Below are 27,644 nucleotides of genomic sequence, written 5' to 3' on the forward strand. Positions count from 1 at the left end.
TTGTTGCAGGTTGTTTGGGACCTGCTGGTTGCTCCTAGTCCTGAGACCACCCCCTCCCCGACCTAGGAGGGCAGCTGGCCACAGGGTGTTAACTGGTTGAGTGAGACTCAGGCTCTGGTATCCCATCTGGACAAGGCCCCCTGCCCTGACCTCTCAGGGCTACAGGGACCTTACCATAGTTTTGGGGAACTGCTGAGATCCACCACCTCCTGGGTTGGTTATGAGGATGCGGGACTTCTTGTGAGTCAGGTTGACAGGCAGGTGACTCTTACAGGAGTGTGCAGGCAATATGGGAAGCCGCCATTTGATAGGTCCTAGAGAGCCAAGTGGCCTGGGTTCAAATCTCTACCTTCCCACATACTAGCTGTGTGCCTGTGGGCAGATGGCTTCACCTCTCTGTGCCTTGATTTCCTCCTCTGTGCAGTGGAGATAATCATACTGTCTCCACCAAGGGCTGTTGTAAGGAGTAACTGCGTGTAATCCACATCAGTGCTTCGAATAGTGCCTAGCACATGGTTAGTGCTCTGTATGGGTTAGCTGTTGATCATGTTGTTAAAGGTGAGACAGGAGGAGGAATGTCCACATTCCTGGTTGTTTTTAATTGAAGTATAATTAATGCACAATAAAATACACAAATCTGAAGTGTCCTGTTAGATGAGTTTTTAGAGTTTTATGTGCCCACTGCCCAAACAAGTTACAGAACATTTCCATCAACCAGAAAGCTCCCTTTGACCCCTTTCTAGTCAGCCCTCACTCCCATCCCAGGGGCAACCACTGATCTGATTTTTCACCACTGTAAATTAATTCTGCCTGGTTTTGAATTTCATTTCAATGTCATATGGGCTTACAGCGTTTAGTGTCTCTTCTTTCATGTGGCACAATGTGTGTGGGATTCATACATGGATGTTGTGTATATCGGTAGCTCAAGTCCTCCATTGTCTGAACAGCCCATGACTTGTTTATGCAGTCTTCTTTTGAGAGACATTTGGGTTATTTCTACTTTGTAGCTTTTATAAGTATAAGCTGCTATGAACTTCTTGGACAAGTCTTTTTGTGAACATGTTTTCATTGTTCATGTTGAATTTCTCTATTGATTGTCTTTTGTTTCATTGATTTTTCATTCATTATTCTCTATGCATGCTTGAGGTTTAATTTGCTTTCTTCTGGCTTCTGAAGATGGACATTAATGCTGTTAATTTTACATCTTTTCTTCCACACAAAGCATTTAAAACTAAATTTCCTTCCAGGCAGTAAGTTAGCTGCGTCCCGTGAATTTTAATACGTCGTATTTTCATTATCATTGAGTTAGAATTGTTTTCTAATTTTCTTTATGGTTTCTGATTTTATCCATAGATTATTGAGAAGGGTATTGTTTAACTCCCAAATATTTGGGGACTTCTAGATGTTACTGTTACTGATTTCTAATTTGGTCAGACAACACACTCTGGATGATTCCATTGGGGCTATTTTTAGATCTGTCTTGGCAAACATGCAGTATGTACTGGAAAATAGTGTGTATTTTGCAGTCGTTAGTCATAGGGCTCTATAAATGTCAATTAGTTCAAGATGGTTGAGACTGCTGTTAAAAATCTTTTATAGCCTATTTTTTCTAATTGCTCAATCATTTATTGAGGGGGCTGTTAAAAGCTCCGACTATACTTGTAGATTTGCCTATTTCTCCCTATAATTCTCAGTTTTTTGCTTCCTGTATTTTGAAATTTTTATTAGGCACACATTTAGGATTGTTATGCTTTCTTGATGAATTGACTCATTATAATGAAGTGACTTCAGTACTTTTTGGCTTGAAATCCCTGTTTTCTATTAAAATAGTTAAACCAGATTTTTACAGTTAATATTTGCATGCTATAACTTTTCTACCCTTTTGTATTTAACCCATTGGTATCTTTATATTTAAAATGTTTTTCTTATAAACAGCATATACTTGGGTCTTGCCTTTTTATCCAGTTGGACAATCTTTACCTTTTTTTTTTTGAGGTGGAATTTCGCTCTTGTTGCCCAGGTTGGAGTGCAATGGTGTGATCTTGGCTCACTGCAACTTCTGCCTCCTGGATTCAAGCAATTCTCCTGCCTCAGCCTCCAGAGTAGCTAGGATTACAGGCACACGCCACTATACCCAACTAATTTTTGTTTCGTTTTGTTTTTTGAGACGGAGTCTCATTCTGTCACCAGGGTAGAGTGCAGTGGCGCAATCTCAGCTCACTGCAACCTCTGTGTCCCAGATTCAAGTGATTCTCCTGCCTCAGCCTCCCGAGTAGCTGGGACTACAGGTGTGCACCACCATGCCCAGCTAACTTCTGTATTTTTAGTAGAGATGGGATTGTACCATGTTGGCCAGGATGGCCTCGATCTCTTGACCTCGTGATCCACCTGCCTCAGCCTCCCAAAGTGCTGGAATTACAGGCATGAGCCACCATGCCTGGCCTGATTTTTGTATTTTTAATAGAGACAGTGTTTCACCATGTTGGTCAAGTTGGTCTCAAACTCCTGACCTCAGATAATCCACCCACCTCGGCCTCCTAAAGTGCTGGAATTACAGGTGTCAGCCACCATTCCCAGCCAATCTTTACCTTTTAATTGGAGTGTTTAGTTCATTTATGTTTAACTATCAGCAATCATATGATTGCATTTCAATCTACTGTCTAGATGTCTCTTTTCTATATGTCCCATTTGTTTTTTTCCCCCTTGTTTCTCCTTCTTTGACTTTCTTTTGTGTGAATCAGGAATCTTTTAGCATTTCATCTGTTTTATTGAATTTTTTGTTATACTTTTGAATGTGTGTGGCGAGGGGTGGAGTGTTACATGGTTGCTCTAGAGCAGCCCTTCTCAGCTGAGGCTCTATAGAGAGAATTAAGCCCTAACTCCCTTAGGCATCCATTATATCCGCAGTGAATTAACTCCTCTCCTGTGAATCTGTGTGCTCTCCTTGGGAGAACTGAGCAGATATCACTGAAAATATTTTTTGTGGGGCTTAATCATTTCCCGGAACCCTGGATGAAAAAGGCTGCTCCAAAGATTACAATGTGTAACTTTAACTTGTCCTATTCTACTTTCAAATAATAATATGATACTTAATGGACAATATAAGAATCTTATGGCCTGGGGCAGTGGCTCATGCCTGTAATCCCAGCAGTTTCGGAGGCCGAGGCAGGTGAATCACTTGGGGTCAGGAGTTCCAGACTAGCCTGGTCAACATGGCAAAAACCCCATCTCTACAACCCTGTCTCTACTAAAAATACAAAAATTAGCCAGGCATGGTGGCACACACTTCTAATCCCAGCTGCTCGAGAGGCTGAGGCAGAAGAATCACTTGAACCCAGGAGGTGGAGGTTGCAGTGAGCCAAGGTCGTGCCACTGCACTCCAGCCTGGGCAACAGAGCGAGACTCCATCTCAAAAGAAAAAAAAAAAAAGAATCTTACAATATTGTGATTGCTTTTATTTTCTCCCAGCCTTTGTGCTCTTGTCATGCTTATGCATCTGCTATAAATACATTGTTGTCATTTCCTTAAATAGACACTAGTCTTCTAAAGAAATACACGTATGAATACACAGAAAATGTCTTTTATATTTACCCTTTCTCTTACTCCTTGTTTCTTCTTCCATATGTGAGTTTCTATCTGGTATCATGCCCCTTCTGCCTGAGTACTTTTAGCATTTCTTACAGTGCACGTCTGCTGTAGACTAATTCTCTCAGCTTTGGTCTGCCTGAAAATGTTTTTATTTTGTCTTCATTTTTAGGGGTGTCTTTGCTGGATGTAGAGTTCTAGGTTGACATTGTTTCTTTCAAGGCTTTAAATGTGTTTTTTTCCCATTGCCTTTTGACCTCCATTGTTTCTGTGAGAACTCAGCAATCATTCATATCTTTGTTCTATATAGTCTGCTTTTTTCTTCACTGGTTTTAAGATGTTGCCTTTGGGTTTTAGTAGTTTGACTATGATGGGCTTTGATGTGCTTTTTTTGAGTCTGTGGGTTAATATCTTTCATTAGTTTTGGAAAGTTCTTAGCCATTATTTCTTATATTTCTTCCCATTTCTGCTCTCCTCTCCGTCTGGAAAGCTAATAACATGCTCTTTGATACTATTTGATACTATTCCTTAGATCTTAATGACCTGAATTTTTTTAATTCTTTTCACGATTTTTCCTCTATGTATTTCAGTTCAGATAATTTCAGTTGTCCTTATGTTCACTGATTCTTTGTAACTGCTGTCAAGCCCAACAAATGAATTATTTATTTCTTACATTGTATTTTTTATTGGTAGCATTTTCATTTAGTTGTGTTTTTTTTAATAGACTTTTCATCTCTGTGTCTCATGTGTTCATGCATGTTGTCCACCTTTTCCACCAAGTCCTTTCACACATTTACCATGGTTATCTTAACGTCTCTGTCTGATAGTTCCATCATCTGGTTCATCTCTGAGTCTGCTCTGTTACCAGTTCTTCATGTGTTTTACAATTTTATTGTATGCCAGCTATTTTGTATAAAAGAACATTAGAGACTGAGGTAAATAAAGTTTTTCCTCAGAAAATGGCACACTTAGGCTGGGCACCATGGCTCAGGCCTGTAATCCTAGCACTTTGGGAGGCCAAGGTGGGCAGATCGCTTGAGCCCAGTAGTTCAAGACCAGCCTGGGCAACTTGTAGAAACCCCACCTCTACAAAAAAAATACAAAAATTAGCCAGGCATGGTGGTTGGCACCTGTAGTCCTAGCTACTTGGGAGGCTGAGTGGGGAGGATCACCTGAACCTGGGAGGTTGAGGCTGCAGTGAACTGTGTTCGAGCCACTGCACTCCAGCCTGGGTGACAGAGTGAGACCCTGTCTTAAAACAAATAAACAAATAAGAAAATGGCACACATTTCTCCTGTTGAGCCACAAGAGGGAGGGGCTGTGTGAACCTCATCTGTAGTTTAGGGGCAGCTTTTATTGGAGTTTCTTTACCACCGGCTTTAAATGTGTTCAGAGTAGAATTAGGACTTTCCCTTCAGCAGAGCTTGGGATCTTAGCCCTGGCAGAATTCCAGGGATGTCTTTATGTTTTAAAGTCGCCAGCTTTTGGAACTGTGGGAGGCCTCTGGTATTCAGCCCTGCCGCCAGACTGTGGGGCCACTGGGGTGCTCTCCGCTCTCCAGTCTCGCCCCCACTTCTGTACCTCAGGAGGTTTCTCTGCACCTCACTCCCTCGCGCCCAACCTTCCATGAAGCCCGTGTGAGGGAGTTGGCAGGGGGCAGAGGCGGGCTGTGCTGGGGCTCCCTGGAGTCCTCATCTGTCACGCCAGTCCCCACACGGTCATGAACTTCCACTCATTTCCCCTCACGCAGGGCATCCCGCCCTGCTGCCTCGCACCAGGGTGAAAGCTGTGGGCTCCTTCCCCAAGGAAGGGCTCGTCCTGTCTGCATTTTGATTAATTTAGGTCCCTTTGCATTGCCAGCTCTCAGATGGCTTTACCTTTGATTTTGTTGCTTGTTTGGCTTGTTTTCATCTTTAGGGCGAGACAGTCTTTTGTAACTTTTCTACCTTCTGACTAGAAGTGGATGCCGCCTGCATTTTCTTAACACCTTTTTCCCCAGCTTATTTTGGAAATCGTCAGACCTACAGAGAGCTGAAAGAACAGTACAGTTAACATCTGTCCACCCTTCACACAGATTCACCACTTGTGAACATTTTAATGCATTAACTTTATGTGTCTGTCTACTTATTTATGCATTTGTATGTGTATACTTTTTTCTTTTTTTTCCCCTAACCCATTTGAAAGTAAGTTGCAGCCATCATAACCTGGATCTCCCAAAAACAAAGACGTCCTCTTGTGTGACCACAGTTGAATTGTCCTACCTTAGAAATTCATCATTGATGTGATAATACTGACTAAGGTAGACAGTCCACAGGCCATCCGGAAAATCTGGAAACATTGACAAATATGCATGTCATTGTCAAGGTCATATCCAATCTGTGAAAAATAAATCATCTGCATTTCTAGACATCTATTAGTATTTTAATTCTCCCCAGCTCTCCCCAAAACATCCTTTTTAGCTGCTTTTAAAAAATTCAGCGTCCGTTGAAAGCACCAGTGTTGCCTATGACCTGCCTTTTTACCTCTTTTTACCTAGAAAGTCTCACTTCTTTTTTGGGAGACTCTTTTATGACAGTGACATTGCGCTGTGTCCAGGCCAGTTCTTTTATAAAATGTTCTACGATCTGGATTCATGCATGTATTTCCACTTGATGCTGAGTATTTTAAGATAATTCAAGAATCAGGTTTTCGTACAAAACAATCGCAATGCTTCGGCACTGCACAGGCCACAGAAGCCTGCGGCTGCCTCCGGCCCCGCCTGCTCCCGCTCCCCCAGGCCTGCCCTGCCCTTTTTCTTCTCTCCCTGCTTCTCCCTCGCCCTCAGCCCAGCAGCGTCTCATGGGCAGTCCAGGCTTTCGGGGCCAGGTTGGGCAGCAGCCCCTGCAGCCGGTCCCACTGAGTCTGCCCTGCCTTCCAGATTCTGGTACAGGTCAAAGAGGTCCTCTCCAAGCTGAGCACGCTCGTGGAAACCACACTCAAAGAGGTGCGCGTTGTGGGGCAGTGCGGGGAGGGCCAGCGGGGGTGGGCTCTCTGGCTGGGGAGGGGCCACAGAGCTCAGGAACTCACGGATCCACCTCCCTCTCTCCCTCACACCCCACCCCTGTGCCTTTCCTCCTGAATATCCCATTTCTCTCCTGGCCTCTTGGTCTTCGTTTGTGTTCCCTGCTTGTGTCTCTTGCATGATTCTTCTTGGTCTACTGTGAACTCTTACCCTTCCCCTCACCTCTGCCCCCTCCCCACGTCTCTCTCTCGGCCCGTCCCTCTCCGGTGGCCTCTTTTCTTTCAGACAGAGAAGATTACAGTATGTGGGGACACCCATGGCCAGTTCTATGACCTCCTCAACATATTCGAGCTCAACGGTTTACCCTCGGAGACCAACCCCTATGTATCCTTCTCAGCAGAGCCACCCTCTCCCCACCTCCACCCCCAGCCGCAGCCTCAGGTCTGCACAGAGTGGGAGGAGCCCTTGCCAGGAAAAGACGTGACCTTGGAAAGGAGAGGCCTGGCCATGCTGGGGCACCAAGGTGTGGGTGGAGCTGCAGGCTGGCCATGCACCCCAGGCTCCAGGCTCGGACAGGCCTGGGCCAGCACCCACCTGCTGTGTGACCTAAGCTGGTAGCTCAGTCTCTCTGGGTCTTGGCTTGTCTTCGTCTGCCTCAGGATCACATTTGAATGGCACCTGGCACTGGCCACACTTGGGTTCCATCCTGGCTTTGCCACTTCCCAGCTGTGTGACCGAAGCAGGTTACTTCACTGCTTGGTGTCACAGTTTCCCCATTTGCAAAGAGGGATAATAATATGTGCAACCTTGTTACTCAGCAGTTACTGAGAGGACAGGTTAAGAACAGGGCCTGGCCCACACCTGATGCTATCTAAGTATTTCCCCGTGTTATGGTATCTGCTCGATGAACGGCCACTTGTAGGGCCACTAGGCCTATGCATTGTTGAGTGGGAGGGCCCGTGTCCCATCTCCCCCATGGCTCCAGGCCTCTCTGAGGAGAGCTGAAGGAGGTGGACTGACTAGTCCCCGCACCTCCCCGCCACTGGCTTTCCGGGAGACAGGAGGCAGGGTCCTCAGTGCCATACTACTGAGGCTCAGCGGCCAAGCTCTGGCTGGAGCCACGGTGAGGAAAGGATTAGAAACCCAGATCCCTTGAGCCCTGCCAAGTCCTCACTCCCTGGGAGGTGCTGACAGGAGGCTTGAGGCCAGGCAGGAGCAGCCCATCTGGCCCATCTTCTGCCACCACCCCCAACCCCACCGCACCGCACCCTTCCCCTCCACGCTTGCCATGTTTTCCTCAGCAGGACAGATATTTAATGGTGACTTTGTGGACCGAGGCTCCTTCTCTGTAGAAGTGATCCTCACCCTTTTCGGCTTCAAGCTCCTGTACCCAGATCACTTTCACCTCCTTCGAGGTGAGCTGGGAAGTGACAAGGTTTGGGTTCATTGTGGGGTCCTGAGTGGGGCACTCACTCTGCAAGGATAATAGTTGCAGCTGTATTTATTTTGTGGACTCGGAGATCATGCACAGGGCGACCTTTTAAGATTGAGTATGTAGTGCACTGCACAAAAGCATCACACCAAAGGACGCGTTTACATCATAGATAGTGTAGAAATGGATGTTTACTCTGACCATTTTTCAGCAGATGGCAAACAAGGGTGTGAGGATGGGCCCCTTATTCTAATTTGCACAAGGGCATGAAACAGGCTCCTGGGTGGCCCTAAATCTGGCACTAAAGCTGAGTGACTGAGTGAACAGACCAGGGCTCGAGGGTGGGAGTAAGGAGACTGTTGACGAGGCAGTTGTGCCCCCTCAGATTCAGGCTTGGTGTCAGATTTGGGTTCTCTTGATTGAAGTAGAGCCCGGAGCTGAGTGTGCTGGTTCACACCTGTAATCCCAGCACTTTGGAAGGCCCAGGTAGGAGGATCACTTCAGCCCAGGAGTTTGAGACCAGCCTGGGCAACACAGTGAGACTTTGTCTCCAGTAAACATTTTTTAAAAAGGCCAGGCGCAGTGGCTCATGCCTGTAATCCCAGCATTTTGGGAGGCCAAGGCAGGTGGATCATCTGAGGTCAAGAGTTCGAAACCAGCCTGTCCAATGTGGTGAAACCCCGTCTCTACTAAAAATACAAAAATTAGCCGGGCATGGTGGTACACGCCTGTAATCCCAGCTGCCTGGGAGGCTGAGGCAGGAGAATCGCTTGAACCCAGGAGGCACATGTTGCAATGAGCCGAGATTGCGCCACTGCACTCCAGCCTAGTCGATAGAGTGAGACTCAGTCTAAAAAAAAAAAAAAAAGCCAGGCATGGTGGCACCGTGCACCCGTAGTCCCAGCTTCTTGGGTGGCCAAAGTGGAAGGATTGCTTGAGCCCAGGAGTGTAAGGCTGCAGTGAGCCATGATCACACCGCTGCACTCCAGCGTGGGCAACAGAGCAAGACCCTGTCTCTTTGAAAAAAAAAAAAAAAGTAAGAAACTTGGAAGTAGAGCCCAGAGTATTTGCTGGAGGAACAGACACAGGTGTGAGACAAAGAGGGAACGAAAGGGGCCCTCTAGGGTTTTGGCCGGAGTATCTGGAGGGCTATGGCTGCCAGTGACGAAGACGGGAACATGTAGAGCAGGGTGTGGCCAGGAGCTGAGGAGCTCCCCTTTGGATGTGGCTGAGACTCAGGAGACATGGGATGTGGGTGGGGTTCCAAGGGGTGTTGAAAATGTAGGTTTCTTGGTGTCCAGATGAGATTAGACAAGAGGAGCTCACTGGGATGTGAGGGCCACACAGGGGAGGCCCTGCCCATGGCGGGGCCGGGGTGAGTTGGGAGGTGAGTGATAGGCTGGGGCGAAGCCTGCATGCCCGTGTCCCTGGGCTCACAGGGTTCACGCAGCAGTGTCCAGCACAGGGTCAAAGCTCAGGAAGCCCGACTGTGGGCCTCGTTGCAGGAGGCAACAAGTGCTCAGGCCGAGAAGTCAGACAAGCAGAGTCTGAGCAGATGCGAGACTGGGCAGCCTTCTCCTTGCCCCCAAGCTCTGGAAGGGAAGAAGGAGGCCGGGTGCTTGTGTCTGAGACAGAAGGATGGAGCTCAGGGTGGGGTGGGCTGGGGCACATGTTCTGTAGATGGGCCTACTTTTTGGTTTTGAGACGGTCTTGCTTTGCTCTGTTGCCCAGGCTGGAGTGCAGTAGCATGAGCATAGCTCACTGCAGCCTCTGCTTCGTGGGCTCAAGTGATCCTCTGGCCTCAGCCTCCCAAGTAGCTGGCACTATAGGCACGCACCACCATGCCCAGCTAATTTTTAAAATTGTTTTATAGAGAGGTCTCAGTATATTGCCCAGGCTGGTCTCAAATTGCTGGGCTCAAGCAGTTCTGCCTTGGCTTCCCAAAGTGCTGGAATTATAGGCGTGAGCCATGGTGCTTAGCCATGGACCTACTTTTTGTCAAGATTCCCCCCTTGGTACCTCCAGTCTGGAAGGCACCGCAGTGGCAAGTGCGAGGCCCATGGGGGCAAGGGACGCATGCACAGTTCTGGGCCTTGAGGGTGCCAGGCTGGAGGACACTGATGTACCTGGAGGCTGAGCTTTCTCTTCTGTCCCCGTGTTGGCCAGGCAACCACGAGACAGACAACATGAACCAGATCTACGGTTTCGAGGGTGAGGTGAAGGCCAAGTACACAGCCCAGATGTACGAGCTCTTTAGCGAGGTGTTCGAGTGGCTCCCGTTGGCCCAGTGCATCAACGGCAAAGTGCTGGTGAGGACGGCGCGAGCCCTGAGTGTGGGTTCCCCACCCAGCCACACCTGGGCAGATGTGCTGGTGAAGGAAGTTGGGGCCTGTGGGTGGGTGGCACCTTCCCTCACAGCGGCATCCCCCATCTCCCCAGATCATGCACGGAGGCCTGTTCAGTGAAGACGGTGTCACCCTGGATGACATCCGGAAAATTGAGCGGAATCGACAACCCCCAGATTCAGGTGAGCAGCGCGGGGCCAGGTGTCTCCAGCAGAAAGGGGCAGCCTGGGCTGAGCTCTCCCCTGCAACCCAGCCCTGCCTCGGAGGATGGGCTTTGTGCCCTTGGCAAGAAACAGCGGGTCTGAGCCTCAGTTTCCTCACCTGCGACTTGGGCCAGTGCACCTCCTTCATGGGGCTGTGATGGCAAGCACGGTCGTGACCATGGTGCGGGGTGAAGGCACGGTGACCGCCGAGCACACCTGTCCTTATTTATTTGTGAGTTCAGCTGTGGAACCCTGGAAGGAGGGGAGGTCTTGGGGCTCCTGTGCTAGTGACGGGCACACTTCAGAGAGTTCACCCACAGGTGCACACGCACGTGCACACTGTGAGTGCTGCAGAGGACATGGATTGGGTGGGCTGGTGCTGGGTGCTCAGGAAGGCCTCTCCAGGGAGGCGAGGTTTGAGCTGACACTGCGGGAAGCAGAGGCATCTGCCGTGCACAGAGCCTGGCGAGCATATTCCAGGCTTGAGGAGGGGTCCTAAGGCAGGGAGAAGTTGGCGAGTGGGCAGGGCTGTGCTTTGAGGGCTGACATTGGACATGGGGTTCACTGGGCCCAAATCCTATGGCGCTTTACAGGCCCCAGTGAGGAACTTTGTTCCTAGGGCAGTGCGGAGCCACCAAAGGCTTTGAGTGGGAGAGGGGCCTGATCTGAATAGTGACATTGAAAGCTCTATCTGGCTTCGGGGCCACAGGGGATTGAATGGGGTCTGGAGGGCAGATCAGCAGAGAGGGTGGGGGTGGCTCAGAATCACAGTCACCTGTCCTGAATGTCCATGTCCATGCTGGATGTCCCCTGCCCAACACCCACCCAGGCTGGGCTGTGGGGTCAGCACCTGGCCGGGCCAGGAGGTGGCCTGTGAGTGACCACCCCCGGGGAGGTGGACGAGTCCCTAATGTTTCCCTCGCTCCCCACCAGGGCCCATGTGTGACCTGCTCTGGTCAGATCCACAGCCACAGGTGAGTCTAGGGTGGGGTGCAGGGCCGGCGGGTGTGGGCTGTGGCAGCAGGTGGAGGCAGACAGTCACCCTGAACCCCTGTCTCTCCCTTCTGCCCACCCTCAGAACGGGCGCTCGATCAGCAAGCGGGGCGTGAGCTGTCAGTTTGGGCCTGACGTCACCAAGGCCTTCTTGGAAGAGAACAACCTGGACTATATCATCCGCAGCCACGAAGTCAAGGCCGAGGGCTACGAGGTGGCTCACGGAGGCCGCTGTGTCACCGTCTTCTCTGCCCCCAACTACTGGTATGTCTTTGCCTTTCCAGCCCAGGGCCTCTACCAAGCCACGGGTTTTTGTCTTGGTTTTTGTTTTGCCTTTTTATGATGGAACATTTCAAAGACAGGCAAGAGCAGATAAAAGAACATGACGAACACCCCCGTATGTGTCACCCACCCATGCAGCACCAGTGGGGCCAGCCTGTGAGTGCTGACCAGCTGCCCTGTGTTACAGCAAGCCCCTGGCACTTCACCTTTCTCCCACTGATTGCCCAGCACTTTTCAGAAGGAAAGGGATCTTTTTCTTAACCACAATATCGTGTTTACACTTTTGAGTGCTGGCTGGGCATGGTGGCTCACGCCTATAATCCCAGCACTTTGGGAGGCCGAGGTGGGCGGATCACCTGAGGTCAGGAGTTTGAGACCAGCCTGGCCAACATGGTGAAACCCCATCTCTACTAAAAATACAAAAATTAGCAGGGCGTGGTGGCACACACCCGTAATCCCAGCTACTCAGGAGGCTGAGTCAGGAGAATTGTTCGAACCCGGGAGGTAGAGGTTGCAGTGAGCTGAGATTGCACCACTGCACTCCAGCCTGGGGAAGAGTAAGACTCCATCTCAAAACACACGCACACGGGCAAGAGTAAGACTCCATCTCAAAACACACACACACACACACACACACACACACACACACACACACACACACACACACACACACACACACACACACACACACACACACACACACACACACACAGTGTTGATCCCTTGCCCCCACCCGAATCCTGCCAAGTTCTCTTTCTCCTGGTCTCTCCTAAGTGTCTTTTCCAGCTGACTTCTTCCAGACAGGACCTAAACAAGGACCACATTTTCAGTCTCTTTGCCTGTGAGTTCCCTGTCTCTCCCCACCCGCATCATTTATTTGTTGAAGAATAGGTTGCTGCCTGCTGTACGAGTCACCTGTGTCCTGGACTAGGCTGACTGCATCCCCGTGGTGCCGTGTGACATGTTCCTCTGTTCCCTGCATCTCTGGGTGGGCAAAGCTAGAAGCGTGGTCAGATTCCTAGTGGGGTCTGGCGAGCATCCACCTCCATGAGCTATGCCCTGCCCCTTCCTGCTCCTGCTTCCTGCACTCCCACCCTCTTTTCCCCATCCCCATCCTCCTGCCCCTCCCATTCTTTCCCCTGGATTCGTCTTTCCCATCTCTGTCTCTCTGTCCATCTGTGTCTGTTGTGGCTCTGTCCCTCCCTCTCCCTCTGTCCCTTCTTGCCCAGCCATTCCTTCTCTTAACCCACCAGCCCCACCCAGCCCTGACCACACTGTCCACTCTGCTCCTGTCCCTGCAGCGACCAGATGGGGAACAAAGCCTCCTACATCCACCTCCAGGGCTCTGACCTACGGCCTCAGTTCCACCAGTTCACAGCAGTGGTGAGTCACCCCTCAGGGCCCCTGCCCCTTCCATCCCGGCCTGGGGACAAGGAGGCTGAGACCCTGGTAAGGGGCAGGGGTAGGTTCTGCCGGTGGGTGCTCAGGGGCTCTGTTCTGACTTCTGTCCATCCCACCTGCCCTGGTCCCACAGCCTCATCCCAACGTCAAGCCCATGGCCTATGCCAACACGCTGCTGCAGCTAGGAATGATGTGAGGTGACGGGCGGGGCGGCCTGCATCCCAGGGCCCCTCCAATCCCACCGGACCCAGGCCCTGGGCTAGGGGCAGAGCAGGCCCCGCCCCAGGGCAATGTTGGACCCCCTTTTACTTTGTAAAGTTTGTATTTATTCCCCTTTAGGTTTGCAGAGGGGGTAGGGGCAGAGTCAGGGGCTGGCCAGAGGGTCTGCTCCCTGGACAGAGAGGAAGGAGGTGGAGCAGCTGGGGCTGGGGGCACAGCCTGGGCATTCTGTGGGGAGGCCGTCCTCGGGGTGGGGTGGGGCCGAGTGGCTGCCCTGCCCCCCTCATTTGCATGGCTCCTCCCCCACTCAAGCAATAGGGCCCCGCCATAGGAAGACCCCCAGAGAGAGGGTCAGCAGGGGGGCCCCGCCTGCGCCTCCCCTCCTATAGCCCCATGGTGGGGCTAGGCTGGGGCTCACCCCCCTCCCCAGCTATTTTATGTCTGTAATTAAATATGTTAAAATAAAGTCATTATCGGAAGTCAGCTTGTCTCTGGATGGTGGAGCCGAAGGAGCTGCCCGGGTTGGGTTACGCCTGCTCAGGAGATCCGGAGGGTGGGGAGGCCGCAAAGTCCCGCTGGCCGGGCCCACCCAGCTCTGGGCTGACCGCCCAAGTGGCCTCTGCCTCTGCCCAGCACCGTGGGCTCCTGGGGAGAGTTCTGCCCCCTGGGTGGGGCGATGAGGCCAGCACTGAGTGGAGCGGAGCGGAAGCTGAGGCATAGCCTCATCCTTTGCTGGCTCCAGCAACAAGCATGACAGTGCCGCTCCCTGCTCCCTGCTCAGGGTAGGCCCAGCAGTGGTTCTTGACATCACACGATGAGGCGCGCATCTCCCGTCATCCAGGGAGACCAGAGGACCCTTGTCTCACTCCCAGTTGGCTCTTAGTCACAGGTAACGTTGGATTCCATTCAGGCTGCCCTGCCAGGCCTTGACCCTCCAGAGAGATTGTGTTTTCAAGTTTGAGCTCCTCTGGACTCAGCTTTCTCCAGTGGTATGTGGCACTGGGGGATGGTCTACAGCAAATGACTCCTGCAGGGCCGAGTCCGGGAGTGTTTGGCCCTTTGGAGACCTCCCAGGCAGACATGAGGCGTCCGCGGTCCTGATTGCGCGTAGGCGCTGGGGAGGTGTTCTCTAAGGCCCATCAGCCTTACAGTAAGTGCACCGCCTTCTGGGGTCAGGTGCGCCACGGTCCAGAAGCCAAGTACACATGGCTTCAGGAAAACAGGCACGAGGCCCAGGTTGCCAGTGCCATTCATTTCTCCTGGGAAAGACAAAAACAGCCACCATGACTGTCGGGAGGGTGCTTCAGACCTGATGGGAGTCAGCCAGGCGGGCAGCTGTGAGGCTCTCAGACTCACTGGGTGTCGGGGTTCCCTGCCGCTGCAGTTCAGGAGGTCTCCCAGGACCCGGTATGGTCATTATCCTCACAGTGAGGGCCTATTATAGCAAGAATATGGGGATGAGAATGAGAGGAGGGAAGAGGCAGGCGCAAGCGTCCCACTGCCCTCTCCCGTGGAGCTGTGTGGACAGCGCTTATTTTCCCCGCATGGATGCGACAGCGTGCTGGAGTGTGGCCACCTAGGGAAGCTCACCCGGGCCTCTGCATCCAAGGTTTTCTTCAGGGGTTGGTCATGGGGACTGCTCACCCCGCGTGGCTGACCGTAGCCTCCAGAGAGACCCACGGCCCCCACCCTAAATCACATCCTTAGCATAGACTGTCCACTGTGGCCCAGGGCCCCAGATAAAGAGACGCTCCTATGAGGTAGGACACACCGAGGGCTCTCCGGTGACCTCCCAGGAGCCAGCCTTTTCTTCCGTCAGGGCTGCAGCCATGCTGCACAGCTGCATAACAAACACCCTAACCCCCCCCACCCCCTCAGCTTCAACAACGAATGCCTTGCTGTCTTCCTCAGTTCTGTGATTGGCTGGGCTTGGCCGTGCAGGGCGCACCTGAGGGCTGAGGCATTTGTGGTCGGGGGCATTTGGGGCTGGAGGCATCTGAAGACTCGCCCGGCTGGACTCCGTGGGGGCTCACTCCCGTGACGGCAGTTGCTGTGGGCTGTTAGCTGGGCTGGCACTGGAACGCCTGCGTGTGGCTTCCATGTGGCCTGAGCTTCTCTCAACGTGGCAGCAGGGTCCCTCAAGGGAGCATTAAATGTTTATATTTAAGTCAACCAACTGCATTCCAGCTGTAGCTCTTGCCTCAGCAATGTCCTGCCACACATTCAATTGTCTCTTTCATTTCCTTCAATCTGGAACATTTCCTCAGCCCCGCTTTGTCTTTGACATGGACGTTTGTGATGATCACGTTCCTCCCGCTCCCCGTGTCTGAAGAGTGCTCCCTGACTGGCTGCCGTCTCCTCCCTGTCGGGTCTGGCTGGGTTCTCCAGAGGGAGTGCTGCGGAGGGGACACAGCAGAGGCCCCATGCTCGTGATGTATGTTGCAGATCATTTTCCCCCATTCTGTCCTTTTTTGTTAAATTGTGGTAAAAAGCACATAACATAAACTGTACCACCTTAACCATTTGAAAGTATATATCCCAGACTGTCTTTTATCTTTAGACTTCACTTGTGGTTTGTTGCCACAGTACAAGTTTATTTTTATGAAGCCAAATGTATCAGTATTTCTTTAATTGTGCTGGCGTGGGAGTCAGTACTTCTCCCTACACCCGGGTTTCAGGGAAGTTCCCTCGGGTTTCTTCTGGTTTTTGTACAGTTTTCTTCTTTATGTCAAGATCTCCAGTCTATTTGGAGTTCCTTCTTGTATGTGATGTGAGGAATGGATCTAATTTTATCTTTTTCCAAGTGGATATTGGAGGAAGTTTTTAAACGAGAAGAGAAATTCAGAAGATGCTGCAAGAGATGGGACCTTTACGGCGATCAATGTCTCAGTAAAGTCAGAACAAAGAGACTCAGGCACACCCACCACAAGTACCAAAACTTTGAGCAGATCAACGCCACAGAGCTGGGCTCGGGAAAACGGAAGGGCCATGGGAGGGAGGGAAAGCATTTAATGGGGGAAGGTCTGGGTAAGCCGATAAGTTTTGGGGAATCAAGGGGGATAAATACACGTGAGTAGGGCTCTGAAGTTAGAGGCAATGAATTGACCAAAAAGAAACAGTAACTTCCAAAAGGGAGTGTGACGGAGAGATGCCCATAGACGCAGGTGATGAACATCCAGGGCTGGCCGGGCACGGGGGCTCACGCCTGTGATCCCAGCACTTGGGGAGGCCGAGTCATGTGGATCGCTTGAGCACAGGAGTCTGCTAAAATAGGGGACACCACTCTAGTTACAGTTTGGATCAGGGTCATCACGCTGGGGACGTGCCAGGCACACGGAGGTGGGGGAGATGCTGGGGGCTGGGGGCAGGTGTGGACACTAAGCAATGGTGTCAGAGGCTGCTGGGGAGTCTCAGGGTCTGGCAGGAGCAGATGTGGACTCCCAGGAGTCATGGACATGAATTAGGGGTCCTAAGAAGCCTCGCCACTGACAAAGGAAGCTGTGAAGGGAAGACCAGAGAACCGGGGGGAGCGGGGGTCTTAGGTGCTCCCCACCCCATCGACCAGGATGGACCCAGGCATCTGCCCAGCTGGATGGAACAGAGACTCCAAGGCAGGAAGGACCCGAGTTCTGTCTCCCTGTCGTTCTCTTGGACCCTTTCACGCTGTCTTTCCCCACCCCCATCTGTCAATGGCCATGATTAGATCACAGACCCAAGCTCTGGCCACCAGGGAAGGCAGAAAGATGACCTAACCTCCATAGCACCGGGTGGGGCCCCTGCCTCCCACCTGTGGGGGGTGTCAGTTGCTTGGCAGCCAGAGGGACAGAGGCCACCACCCCTCCCCTCCCGGCCAGCACCACAGATGGAGAAACTGGGCCCATGGTTCCCTCTGCCCACACCCTCCCATGGCTCTCATCTCCGTGGTCCAGCGGATGGGGGGAAACAGGTTGAGGAATTTGGACACTGGAAAATGGGTGGAAGCAGTTAAAACCTGAGGGGACCAGGAGGGGCAGGGTGGGCACCCATCTCAGATGAGTCGAAGAGCAGCAGGGTGATTTTCCATGCCCGGCCCCTTGGCTCTGTTCTAAGAGTTTACACGCATTAACATTTCATTCTAACTCAGTGAGTCAGACACTTTTCAGATGCCCATTTTACAGATAAGCAAGATAAGAAGTACAGAGAGGTTAAGTTACATGCTCAGAGTCACACAGCCAGCAAATGGCAGAACGGGACTTGAGCACCAGCTGACTGGCTGCAGAGTCTGTGCCCTGAGCCAGTTTGCAGTAGCATTGAGCACTTTATGTGTCAGGCAGTTTACAGGCACTTTGGGTCCTCGCAACAGCCCCATTTTACAGATGAGGAAACTGAGGCACAGAAGCAGCAATATACCTGAGGACACACAACTAGGAAGGAGGATAGAGCATATTCGGTGGGAGATAATAAAACCTTTGATGCCAAATGCTAAAATAATATTTGGGGAAAAGCTTTTGACCCCTTTTAGCAAACAAAAATTTTATGATGGCAAGAATTTATCCTGCTGGTTAATCTGATTTTTCCCTTTTTAGTACATGGGTGTTCCCTAACCTTACCCCTGAAGAGAAAACTCATGACTTCCCCCAGAGCTGTGCATTCTCAAAGCTTTTTTTTTTTTTTTTTTTTTTTTTTTCCTGAGATGGAGTCTTGCTCTGTCGCCCAGGTTGGAGTGCAGTGGCGCAATCTCGCTCACTGAAGCCTCCCCTCCCCCTCCTGGGTTCAAGCCTCGTAAGTAGCTGGGATTACAGGCGTGTGCCACCACGCCCAGCTAATTTTTGTATTTTTAGTAGAGACGGGGTTTCCCCATGTTAGTCAGGCTGGTCTCGAACTCCTGACCTCAAGTGATCTGCCCGCCTCGGCTGCCCAAAGTGCTGGGATTACAGGTGTGAGCCACTGCGCCCGGCCTCAAAGCATTTTTGTTAGCGGTCTTTTTAAGATTTCTCCACCGGGTGTGGTGGCTCACGCCTGTAATCTCAGCATTTTGGGAGGCCGCGGCGGGCAGATCACGAGGTCAGGAGTGTAACACCAGCCTGGCCAACATGGTGAAACCCCGTCTCCACTAAAAATACAAAAAAATTAGCCGGGCATGGTGGCACGTGCCTGTAATCCCAGCTACTCAGGAGGCTGAGGCAGGAGAATTGCTTGAACCAGGACCCAGGAGGCGGAGGTTGCAGTGAGCCGAGATGGCGCCACTGTATTCCAGCCTGGGCTACAGAGCGGGACTCCGTCTCAAAAAAAAAAAAAAAAAAAAAAAAAAAATTTCTCTTGTAACTGTTCTGTGATTGTCCACTGTATGGCGCTAGGGGGCGCTGTAACACCACGGTGTTTTATAGTCATTACAACACTCTTCCAGCAGATGGCGGCAAAGTGTTGGGGAAAGAGGGTGCCTTTTTGCCAATCCCCATATATTTTTCTAATTTTCTTTGTATGGTATGCAAACATTTCCAATGCTCAAAATTTGGTCTCAGCTACCATTCTAACTATTTGAGGCTTACGCTTCTCTGTTTCCCCTCCAATCTGGGCCGAAGTCTTCCTGTCAGTGAAACAGGGATGTTTAAAGGAGTTTTTTTGGGGCCCCTTTCCCAGAGCTGTCCTGATGGCCCATTTGGGGCAGTTTCTCTCTTTTTGGAGCGTGGAGCTGCTCTTAAGGCCCTGCCTGCTGGATTCTCAAATAGCATGGTGGACACTCCCCTCCAGACCTCCTCTGTGGGCCCAGCCTCCCCTCTCTTAGCCCCTTGGAGTTCCTGCCCCTTTTGGGCCCCAAAGTCCTGTCTCTAACTCAAAGACAGTTAGTTATCTGTGTTAAAATAAAATAACATGGGCCGGGCGTGGTGGCTCACGCCTGTAATCCCAGCACTTTGGGAGGCCGAGGTGGGCGGATGACCTGAGGTCAGGAGTTCGAGACCAGCCTGGCCAACATGGTGAGACCCGATCTCTACTAAAATTGTCAAAGAACAAATTAAGGTGTGGTGGCGGGTGCCTGTAATCTCAGTTACTCGGGAGGCTGAAGCAGGAGAATTGCTTGAACCCGGGAGGTGGAGGTTGCAGTGATCGGAGATCGTGCCAGCCTGGGTGACAGAGCAAGACTCCATCTCAAAAAATAAATAATTTTTTAAAAATGGAGACCAGGACTGAGAATTCCCCAAAGCAGACAAAAGCAGTTAGGCCATGTAAACACAACTTAATCTAGTTTGACTTCTGAATGTGAGTGAAACTTAGCTTATTCCCTGTAAATAAATGCTGCTGAGAATCATAAACAAAGCTGAAATCGCCTTCCAAAAGGATGTAAGACAATCACTTTTAACCGATCCCTTGTCATATGGAAGCCCCCACCATCATAGTCGGTCATCGTGAAGGTGAAGCCACCTCCTGGTTTTTGCTTTTTTTTTTTTTTTTTTTTTTTTGAGATGGAGTCTCGCTCTGTCGCCCAGGTTGGAGTGCAGTGGTGCGATCTTGGCTCACTGCAAGCTCCGCCTCCCGGGTTCACGCCATTCTCCTGCCTCAGCCTCCCGAGTAGCTGGGACTACAGGTGCCCGCCACCACGCCTGACTAATGTTTTGTATTTTTAGTAGAGACAAGGTTTCACTGTGTTACCCAGGATGGTCTCGATCTCCTGACCTCATGATCCACCCGCCTTGGTCTCCCAAAGTGCTAGGATTACAGGCGTGAGCCACCGCGCCTGGCCTTTTTTTTTTTTTTTTTTTTTTTTTTGAGATGGAGTCTCACTCTTGTCGCCCAGGCTGGAGTGCAGTGGTGCAATCTCCATTCACTGCAACCTCTGCCTCCTGGGTTCAAGCGATTCTCCTGCCTCAGCCTCCTGAGTAGCTGGGACTACAGGCACCCGCCACCATGCCTGGCTAATTTTGTGTATTTTTAGTAGAGATGGGGTTTCACTATGTTGGCTAGGCTAGTCTCGAACTCCTGACCTCGTGATCTGCCTGGCTCGGCCTCCCAGAGTGCTGGGATTACAGGCGTGAGCCACTGTGCCCGGCTGGTTTTTGCTTTCTAAGCCATCCTACACCAGCCTGCCTCTGAGTTGCTTACCGCTCAGATTGAAGTCTCCTGGATGACAATTCGTGCTTTTTGCATGACAATAAACTTTTTTTTCCCCCCCCTAATTGGAGCCTATTTTATTCTGGACATTTTGGGGGAATTAGAAGTGAGATTCAAAGAAGATCCCAAGGAGCCCTGACTGCAGGGAGTAACCAGGCATGGGCACCCACACAGCCAGCTGTGTTCACTACTTTCTTGCTAACCAAGGGGTTTGGGATAAGTCTTTTTCGGATCTGAGCTTCCTTCTCTTCACCTTTGAGCTCTCCGTTTGTCACACAAAAGGGGCCGATTCTGTTTGTTTCTATTTGTCTGTCTGAGTTTGAGCTCGGGTAAGTCATTCTTTCCTGTTCAATAATGGAGGAGGATCTGTGTTTCCCTGCATCCTAGAATGGTAACCCCCTGGCTAGACACCCCATAGCTTATTTGGCAGAGTCTCAGAGGAAACGAAGGCCAGGGTGCATTCAGAACATCCCAGTATTCTCCATCTAGAACTCTACCTGCTTATATGTTTAAGAACTATGGCCGGGCGCGGTGGCTCACACCTGTAATCCCAGCATTTTGGGAGGCCAAGGCAGGGCGGATCACTTGAGGTCAGGAGTTCAAGACCAGCCTGGCCAATATGGCGAAACCCCATCTCTACTAAGAATACAAAAATTAGCCGGGCATGGTGGCAGGAACCTGTAATCCCAGCTATTCCAGAGGCTGAGGCAGGAGAATCTCTTGAACCCAGGAGGTGGAGATTGCAGTAAGCCGAGATCGTGCCTCTGCACTGCACTCCAGCCTGGCAATACACCGAGACTCCATCTCAAATTCCCAGTGTCAGCCAGGCACAGTGGCTCATGCCTGTAATCCCAGCACTTTGGGATGCCAAGGCAGGGCGGATCACTTGAGGTCAGGAGTTCAAGACCAGCCTGGCCAATATGGCGAAACCCCATCTCCACTAAAAATACAAAAATTAGCCGGGCATGGTGGTGGGAGCCTGTAATCCCGGCTACTCCAGAGGCTGAGGCAGGAGAATCTCTTGAACCCAGGAGGCGGAGGTTGCAGTGAGCTGAGATCGCATCACTGCATTCCAGCCTGGGCAACAGCCAAAATACTGTCTCAAAAAAAAAAAAATAGATAGATAGATAGATAGATAGATAGATAGATAGATACATACATACATACATACATACATACATACATAGATTTTTATGGATCTCTCTGAGATCCCTGACACTGTATGGGCCTCTTCTTCCACAGATGTGGGCAAAATAAAAAATGCTGAACCTATGAAAATTCAGATTAATCTTTCAAAACCACTGTTGAAGTTGTCTCAGTACCCGCTTTACAAAAAGCCATACATGTGCAAACTCCTACAACAGAAGATTTAATGAAACGGGCTATTTCTTGTAATGTTCCTATCCTGTTTTAAAAAATGTACAGATGAGGATGGATATTTGTACAAGATCTCGATCTCCATGGGATCTTTACTACACCCATAAATAAAACATTTAAAAATGTCCCGTATACATATGTAACAAACCTGCACGTTGTGCACATGTACCCTAAAACTTAAAGTATAATTTAAAAAAAGTCCCATAGTGCCCAACCCCAACACCCTATTGATGAAGGTGCCAAATGATTCCAAATCGAATGGTTCACAGGAGTGGACATATGCTGTCTGTGGTTTTTTTTTTTTGTTTTTTTTTTTTCCCCAGACAGAGTCTCACTCTGTCGCCCAGGCTGGAGTGCAGTGGCGGGATCTCGGCTCACTGCAACCTCCGCCTCCCGGGTTCAAGCAATTCTCCTGCCTCACCCTCCCGAGTAGCTGGGATTACAGGCGTGCGCCACCGCGCCTGGCCCCAACCTGCATTTTCATTGGTTGCAGGGATAAAAGGCAAGTCCCACCAGAAAATCAATGCCAACCAGGAACTGAGGGTGGCGGTGTTCAGTCTGTTCCCAGGGTTTTGAGAACTGGTGCAGTGCCTAACAAGCACACACGTTCCCCTTAGTAAGGAAATACGGTTAAGAATGAAGTAAAAAAAAAATTGTTTTCTTTCAATTTATGTGTCTATATATTTTCATTTTTTATGTTAATAAAGACAAGGTCTCGCTATGTTGCCCAGGCTGATCTCAAACTCCTTAGCTCTACATATTTTCAAATGGCTACTAACTTCTTAGGACATAAGAGCTTAGGTTGTTTAGACCTCACCAGATGAGAATGGAACTGTTAGGTATTTCTTTGGGGGCGCTATGGAAAAAATGACTGAATTACTAAGGTCTGGTGCACCAAGCAAGTCCAGAGCCACCTGCACCAGGGCACAGGGGTTGAGAGCCTGGGCTCTGGAGTCAGAAGACCTAGGTTTGCCACCTCACTTTGCCATCCTTGGGCATTGTGCGACCTCTGCGCCTGTAAAACGGGAATAGTTAACAGTTGTGGGATTAGTGACAAAGCCCATAGAAAACATTCAGACAGGCCGGGCGTGGTGGCGGGCGCCTGTAGTCCCAGCTACTCGGGAGGCTGAGGCAGGAGAATGGCGTGAACCCGGGAGGCGGAGCTTGCAGTGAGCCGAGATCGTGCCACTGCACTCCAGCCTGGGCGACAGAGCGAGACTCCCTCTCAAAAACAAACGAACAAAAACATTCAGACAATCCCTGGCATGTCTTAGCAGGCGATAAATGTTAGTTTTATAAATTTATTTATTTAACCAAAATGGACTCATTCTACATATGTATTTCTATCATTTTTTTCCTTATTATTATCTGGACATTTTTTTCTAGGCAGGCCTGTAAGGATCTTTCTTTCTTTCTCTTGCCTTCCTTCTTTTTTTTCTTTTTTCTTTTTTTTTTTTTTTTTTTTTTTTGAGACAGGGTCTTGCTCTGTCACTCGGGTTGGAGTGCAGTAGCACGATCTCAGCTAACTGCAGCCTCCATCTCCTGGGCTCAAGCTATCTCCTCCCACCTCAGCCTCCTGAATAGCTGGGAACACATGCCACCACGCCCGACTAATTTTTTGTAGAGACAGGGTTTCACCATGTTGCCCAGTCTTTTCTCACTCCTGAGCTCAAGCCATCCTCCTGCCTCAGCCTCCCAAAGTGCTGGAATTATAGGCATGAGCCACTGCGCCTGGGCAACTGTTCTTTCTAATAGCCCCCTAGTCTGCATCCTTCAGGGACTTCTTAAAGTAAAAACGTCCAGCCAGGCGCAGTGGCTCACGCCTGTAATCCCAGCACTTTGGGAGGCCGAGGTGGGTGGATCACGAGGTCAGGAGATCAAGACCACCCTGGCCAATATGGTGAAACCCCGTCTCTACTAAAAATACAAAAATTAGCCGGGCATGGTGACACGTGCCTGTAATCTCAGCTACTCGGAGGCTGAGGCAAGAGAATCACTGGAACCAGGGAGCTGGAGGTTGCAGTGAGCTGAGATTGCACCACTGCACTCCAACCTGGTGACAGAGCGAGACTCCGTCTCAAAAAAAAAAAAAAAAAAAGAAAAAAGAACTCCAAGACTTCAAGGTTCCCCTGAAGCTTGGATGCAAACGTAAAGCCTGACCTATCCTCATTGATAAATAGGCCCTTATTCTCCCTTCCCTTCCATTACTTCCCTCCTTCTCATAGGAAGGCATTCCATTTCTTCATCCTGCCATTTGAGGCCTCTGCCTCTGTGTCCTGCCCTGGCTAAGGCCCCTGCCTCTGTCTCCACCATGCCTTGTGACCCTGGAGAGGTCCCTCAATTCCTTAAGCCACAGGTTCCTCATCTATATAATGGGGATGATAATAATAGAAGCTGCATCCCTGGGCTGCTGTGAGAATTACAGAGTTCAACCCCCAAGGCTATGACGAATCTGCCCGTAGTAAAGAGTGAGGCTGGGGGCGGTGGCTCACCCCTGTAATCCCAGCACTTTGGGAGGCCAAGGCAGGTGGATCACTTGAGATCAGGAGTTCAAGACCAGCCAGGCCAACATGGTGAAACCCCGTCTCTACTAAAAATACAAAAATTAGCCAGGTGTGGTGGCAGGAGCCTGTAATCCCAGCCATTAGGGAGGCCGAGGGCAGAAGAATCGCTTGAGCCCGGGAGGCAAAGGTTGCAGTGAACCGAGATCGCTTCACTGCCCTCCAGCCTGGGTGACAAAGCGAGACTCCTTCTCAAAAACAAACAAACAAAAAACCAAACTGTTCCCCTGAACTTGTTTTTTTGTGGCAGCGGGTGGCAGCTGGGCCTGTCAGATAGAGGCTGATTTGGAATCAAGACATCGGTCTTTTGGGGCAACCGTTCAGATTCTGTGAGTTTGAAACCACAAATGCCAAAGTTTAAATTGGGAGACTGGACCCTGCAGGCACTATTTAAATCCCTTTTTGTGTTACAAATAGTGAACCCCCCCTGCTGCCATCTGCAGGCCACTAAAGTGTCCATTCCACATCTGAGTCCTGGGCGATTCTGAAGTGGGATCCCGAGGACAGAGATACTAATAAGTTGGCTCACGCCTGTAATCGCAGCACTTTGGGAGGCCGAGGCACGCAGATCACGAGGTCAGGAGTTCGAGACCAGCCTGGCCAACATGGTGAAACCTCGTCTCTACTAAAAATACAAAAAATTAGCTGGGTGAGGTGGCGGGAGCCTGTAATCCCAGCTACTCAGGAGGCTGAGGTAGGAGAATCACTTGAAACCAGAAGGCGGAGGTTGCAGTGAGCTGAGATTGTGCCACTGCACTCCAGCCTGGGCGACAGAGCGAGACTCCGTCAAGAAAGGAAGGGAGGAAGGGAGGAAGGAAGGAAGGAAGGGAGGGAGGGAGGAAGGAAGGAAGGAAGGGAAAGGAAGGAAATGAAGGAATAAGAAAAAAGAAAATAAAAGCAAAGGAAAAGAAAAGAGAAAAGAAAAGAAGAAAGAAAAAGTTGTGTCCATTCCCGAGTCAAACTTAGACTCCGGACCTCTTTTCCCAGCTGCCGCCAGGGGGCGCAACGTGGCTCATTGTCTCCAAAAAACAGCCGCTGTCAATTCTTCCCTTCCCCGTATGCCCCTGGTACCTCCCCCCGTCAAGAGGTGAAGTCTATTTCCCTTCCGCTTGAATCCAGACTAGCCTTATGACTTGGTTTGACCAAGAAGTTGAGTCCCATCGAATGACTCCTCTTCTCTTCAAATCCTCTTATGGCTTCCTATGTCACTAAAGGTCAAAGCCAGAGTCCTTATAACAGGGTCTGGACCTGTTCAGTGCAGCAGCCACTACTGACATGGGGATATTTTAATTTCAATGTAACTAAATACAATTAAACATCCACATCCTGAAGTCACAGTAGCTACATCGCAAGTGCTCAAGAGCCACACGTGGCCAGTGGCTACCACATCACGCAGTGCTGGTGCAGGACACTGCCACCATCGCACGCAGTTCTCTTGCACAGCTCAGGTCTACACACTCCGCCTCCATCTCACCCCCTGCCTTGTTTCCCACCTCCCTCTCTGTGTCTCCCCCCGTGGCTTCAGCCACCCAGGTCTCCGGGTCACACCAGGCATATTCCTGCCTCAGGGCCTTTGCACTGCTGTTCTCTTTCTTCAAATGTCACATTCCCAGGGAGGGCTTCCCTGACCACCTATAAAAATGTAACCCAGGCTGGGCGCAGTGGCTCACCCCTGTAATCCCAGCACTTTGGGAGGCTGAAGCGGGCGGATCACCTGAGGTTGGAAGTTCAAGACCAGCCTGAACAACACGGAGAAACCCCGTCTCTACTAAAAATATAAAATTAGCCGGGCGTGGTGGTGCATGCCTGTAATCCCAGCTACTCAGAAGGCTGAAGCAGGAGAATCGCTTGAATCCAGAAGGTGGAGATTGCGGTGAGCGGAGATCGCGGTGAGCGGAGATCGCGCCACTGCACTCCAGCCTGGGCAACAAGAGCGAAACTGCATCTCAAAAACAAACAAACAAACAAACCCTAGCCTGGCTCGGTGGCTCACGCCTGTAATCCCAGCACTTTGGGAGGCCGAGGCGGGTGGATCACTTAAGGTCAGGAGTTCGAGACCAGCCTGGCCAACATGGAGAAACTCCGTCTCTATTAAAATACACAAAAATTAGCCACGCGTGGTGGCGCGCGCCTGTAATCCCAGCTACTCGGGAGGCTGAGGCACGAGAATCGCTTGAACCCGGGAGGCAGAGGGGCAGTGAGCTGAGATCGTGCCACTGCACTCCAGCCTGGGTGACAGAGCAAGACCCCGTCTCAAAAAGAAAAAAAAAAAGTGACCTTTTCTGCACTTGCTCGCTTTATTTTTCGGAGCTCTGATTGCCCTGGTTCACTCATTTGTTTCTCAATAGCACGCCGACTTGTCAGGAAGGTTAATAGAGGAAATTGGTGACACAGACATTGCAATCAGGAAGGGCTGAGAGTAGCAAGTCAGGTGGGCTCACCATTAGCAATGCAGGGAGCTGCTGTCTCGTGAGGATTGGAGGAGCCACGTGGAAAATGCTGCTGCCCGGAGCCCAGGTGGCTGCGCTGGCCAGGGAGAAGCCCCTGGTTGGCGGCGGTGGCCGTCACTGCTGCTGCTGCTTCTGCAGCCACCACGGCCCAAGCATCCCCCAGATGGCGTCCCCTTCCTCTGGCTTCCTCTCCCGTAGCAACAGCAGTCCCTGCAGAGGACTCTGGAGTGGTGGTTGCGGGGTCCTACCCCGCAGGGGGCAGGTGGGCGTGGCGGGGAGAGGCAGTAGAGTCGCTCAGGGTCAGCTCTGACCTGTCCCCGCGGTGTTCCCGGCCCCAGCAGCTGCTCAGTTATTTGTCGAGTGCTGACGGTCGGTCGGAAGAAACCACCCGGACTGAGGAAGGCTGACCCCAGATGCGCCTAGTTGGGAATGTGCTGGAAAGATACGCCCCCTGGAGGGAGTGCGCCCAGGAAGTGGGGAGGAGCGTTTGAGATCGAAGGAGTGGCCGCGTAAAGGCCCTGAGGTCTCGCAAGGAAGGGTCCCGGGGCGTCCCAGGCCCTGTTCTAGGTGCAAGAAACAGGAACCTCCTGGAGCGAGCATGCGGTGGGGAGGCAGGGGGTACGCCTCCTACATGAGGAGGAGATCCACGCATTAGGAAGTGAGGCCTGCTGGGGACAAAAGTCTGGCAGGCAGGGCCCCAGGAGGGCCG

General features: G+C 50.9%; 1 protein-coding gene and 1 long non-coding RNA gene across 4 annotated transcripts in view, besides 3 other annotated features; one reads left to right on the top strand and one right to left on the bottom strand.

Annotated features, from left to right (window-relative positions):
- PPP5C (protein phosphatase 5 catalytic subunit) overlaps nucleotides 1-14,067 on the top strand; it is a 43,889-nt gene extending 29,822 nt beyond the window's left edge. Inside the window, exons 5-13 of one of the 2 annotated variants that reach the window (NM_006247.4) lie at nucleotides 6,503-6,568; nucleotides 6,872-6,970; nucleotides 7,896-8,001; nucleotides 10,185-10,327; nucleotides 10,458-10,545; nucleotides 11,500-11,540; nucleotides 11,645-11,823; nucleotides 13,143-13,224; nucleotides 13,376-14,067. In NM_006247.4, coding sequence (NP_006238.1) covers nucleotides 6,503-6,568; nucleotides 6,872-6,970; nucleotides 7,896-8,001; nucleotides 10,185-10,327; nucleotides 10,458-10,545; nucleotides 11,500-11,540; nucleotides 11,645-11,823; nucleotides 13,143-13,224; nucleotides 13,376-13,438 — 867 coding nt within the window. In that variant the 3' untranslated portion in view covers nucleotides 13,439-14,067. The remainder of the gene's footprint in view (nucleotides 1-6,502; nucleotides 6,569-6,871; nucleotides 6,971-7,895; nucleotides 8,002-10,184; nucleotides 10,328-10,457; nucleotides 10,546-11,499; nucleotides 11,541-11,644; nucleotides 11,824-13,142; nucleotides 13,225-13,375) is intronic. The other variant, NM_001204284.2, reaches the window with a different exon arrangement.
- Nucleotides 579-27,330, bottom strand: PPP5C-AS1 (PPP5C antisense RNA 1). 2 transcript variants are annotated; one of them, XR_007067275.1, is made up of 2 exons: nucleotides 26,927-27,330; nucleotides 579-5,616 (listed from the first exon to the last, which is right to left on the bottom strand). It is a non-coding gene; the product is annotated as a PPP5C antisense RNA 1 (long non-coding RNA). The 2 variants fall into 2 exon arrangements; XR_936001.3 differs by lacking the exon at nucleotides 579-5,616 and adding an exon at nucleotides 13,893-16,725.
- Nucleotides 5,860-6,761: an enhancer, noted in NCBI's record as "H3K4me1 hESC enhancer chr19:46886025-46886926 (GRCh37/hg19 assembly coordinates)". NCBI's record gives its function as "activates a minimal SCP1, AML or CMV promoter by ChIP-STARR-seq in primed H9 embryonic stem cells {active_cell/tissue: H9 hESC(primed)}" and the evidence as "EXISTENCE:reporter gene assay evidence [ECO:0000049][PMID:30033119]".
- Nucleotides 16,807-17,307: an enhancer, noted in NCBI's record as "H3K4me1 hESC enhancer chr19:46896972-46897472 (GRCh37/hg19 assembly coordinates)". NCBI's record gives its function as "activates a minimal SCP1, AML or CMV promoter by ChIP-STARR-seq in naive H9 embryonic stem cells {active_cell/tissue: H9 hESC(naive)}" and the evidence as "EXISTENCE:reporter gene assay evidence [ECO:0000049][PMID:30033119]".
- Nucleotides 26,532-27,239: an enhancer, noted in NCBI's record as "H3K4me1 hESC enhancer chr19:46906697-46907404 (GRCh37/hg19 assembly coordinates)". NCBI's record gives its function as "activates a minimal SCP1, AML or CMV promoter by ChIP-STARR-seq in primed H9 embryonic stem cells {active_cell/tissue: H9 hESC(primed)}" and the evidence as "EXISTENCE:reporter gene assay evidence [ECO:0000049][PMID:30033119]".

The sequence above is a fragment of the Homo sapiens genome, chromosome 19 (assembly GCF_000001405.40).
Source record: "Homo sapiens chromosome 19, GRCh38.p14 Primary Assembly".
NCBI lineage: Eukaryota > Metazoa > Chordata > Mammalia > Primates > Hominidae > Homo > Homo sapiens.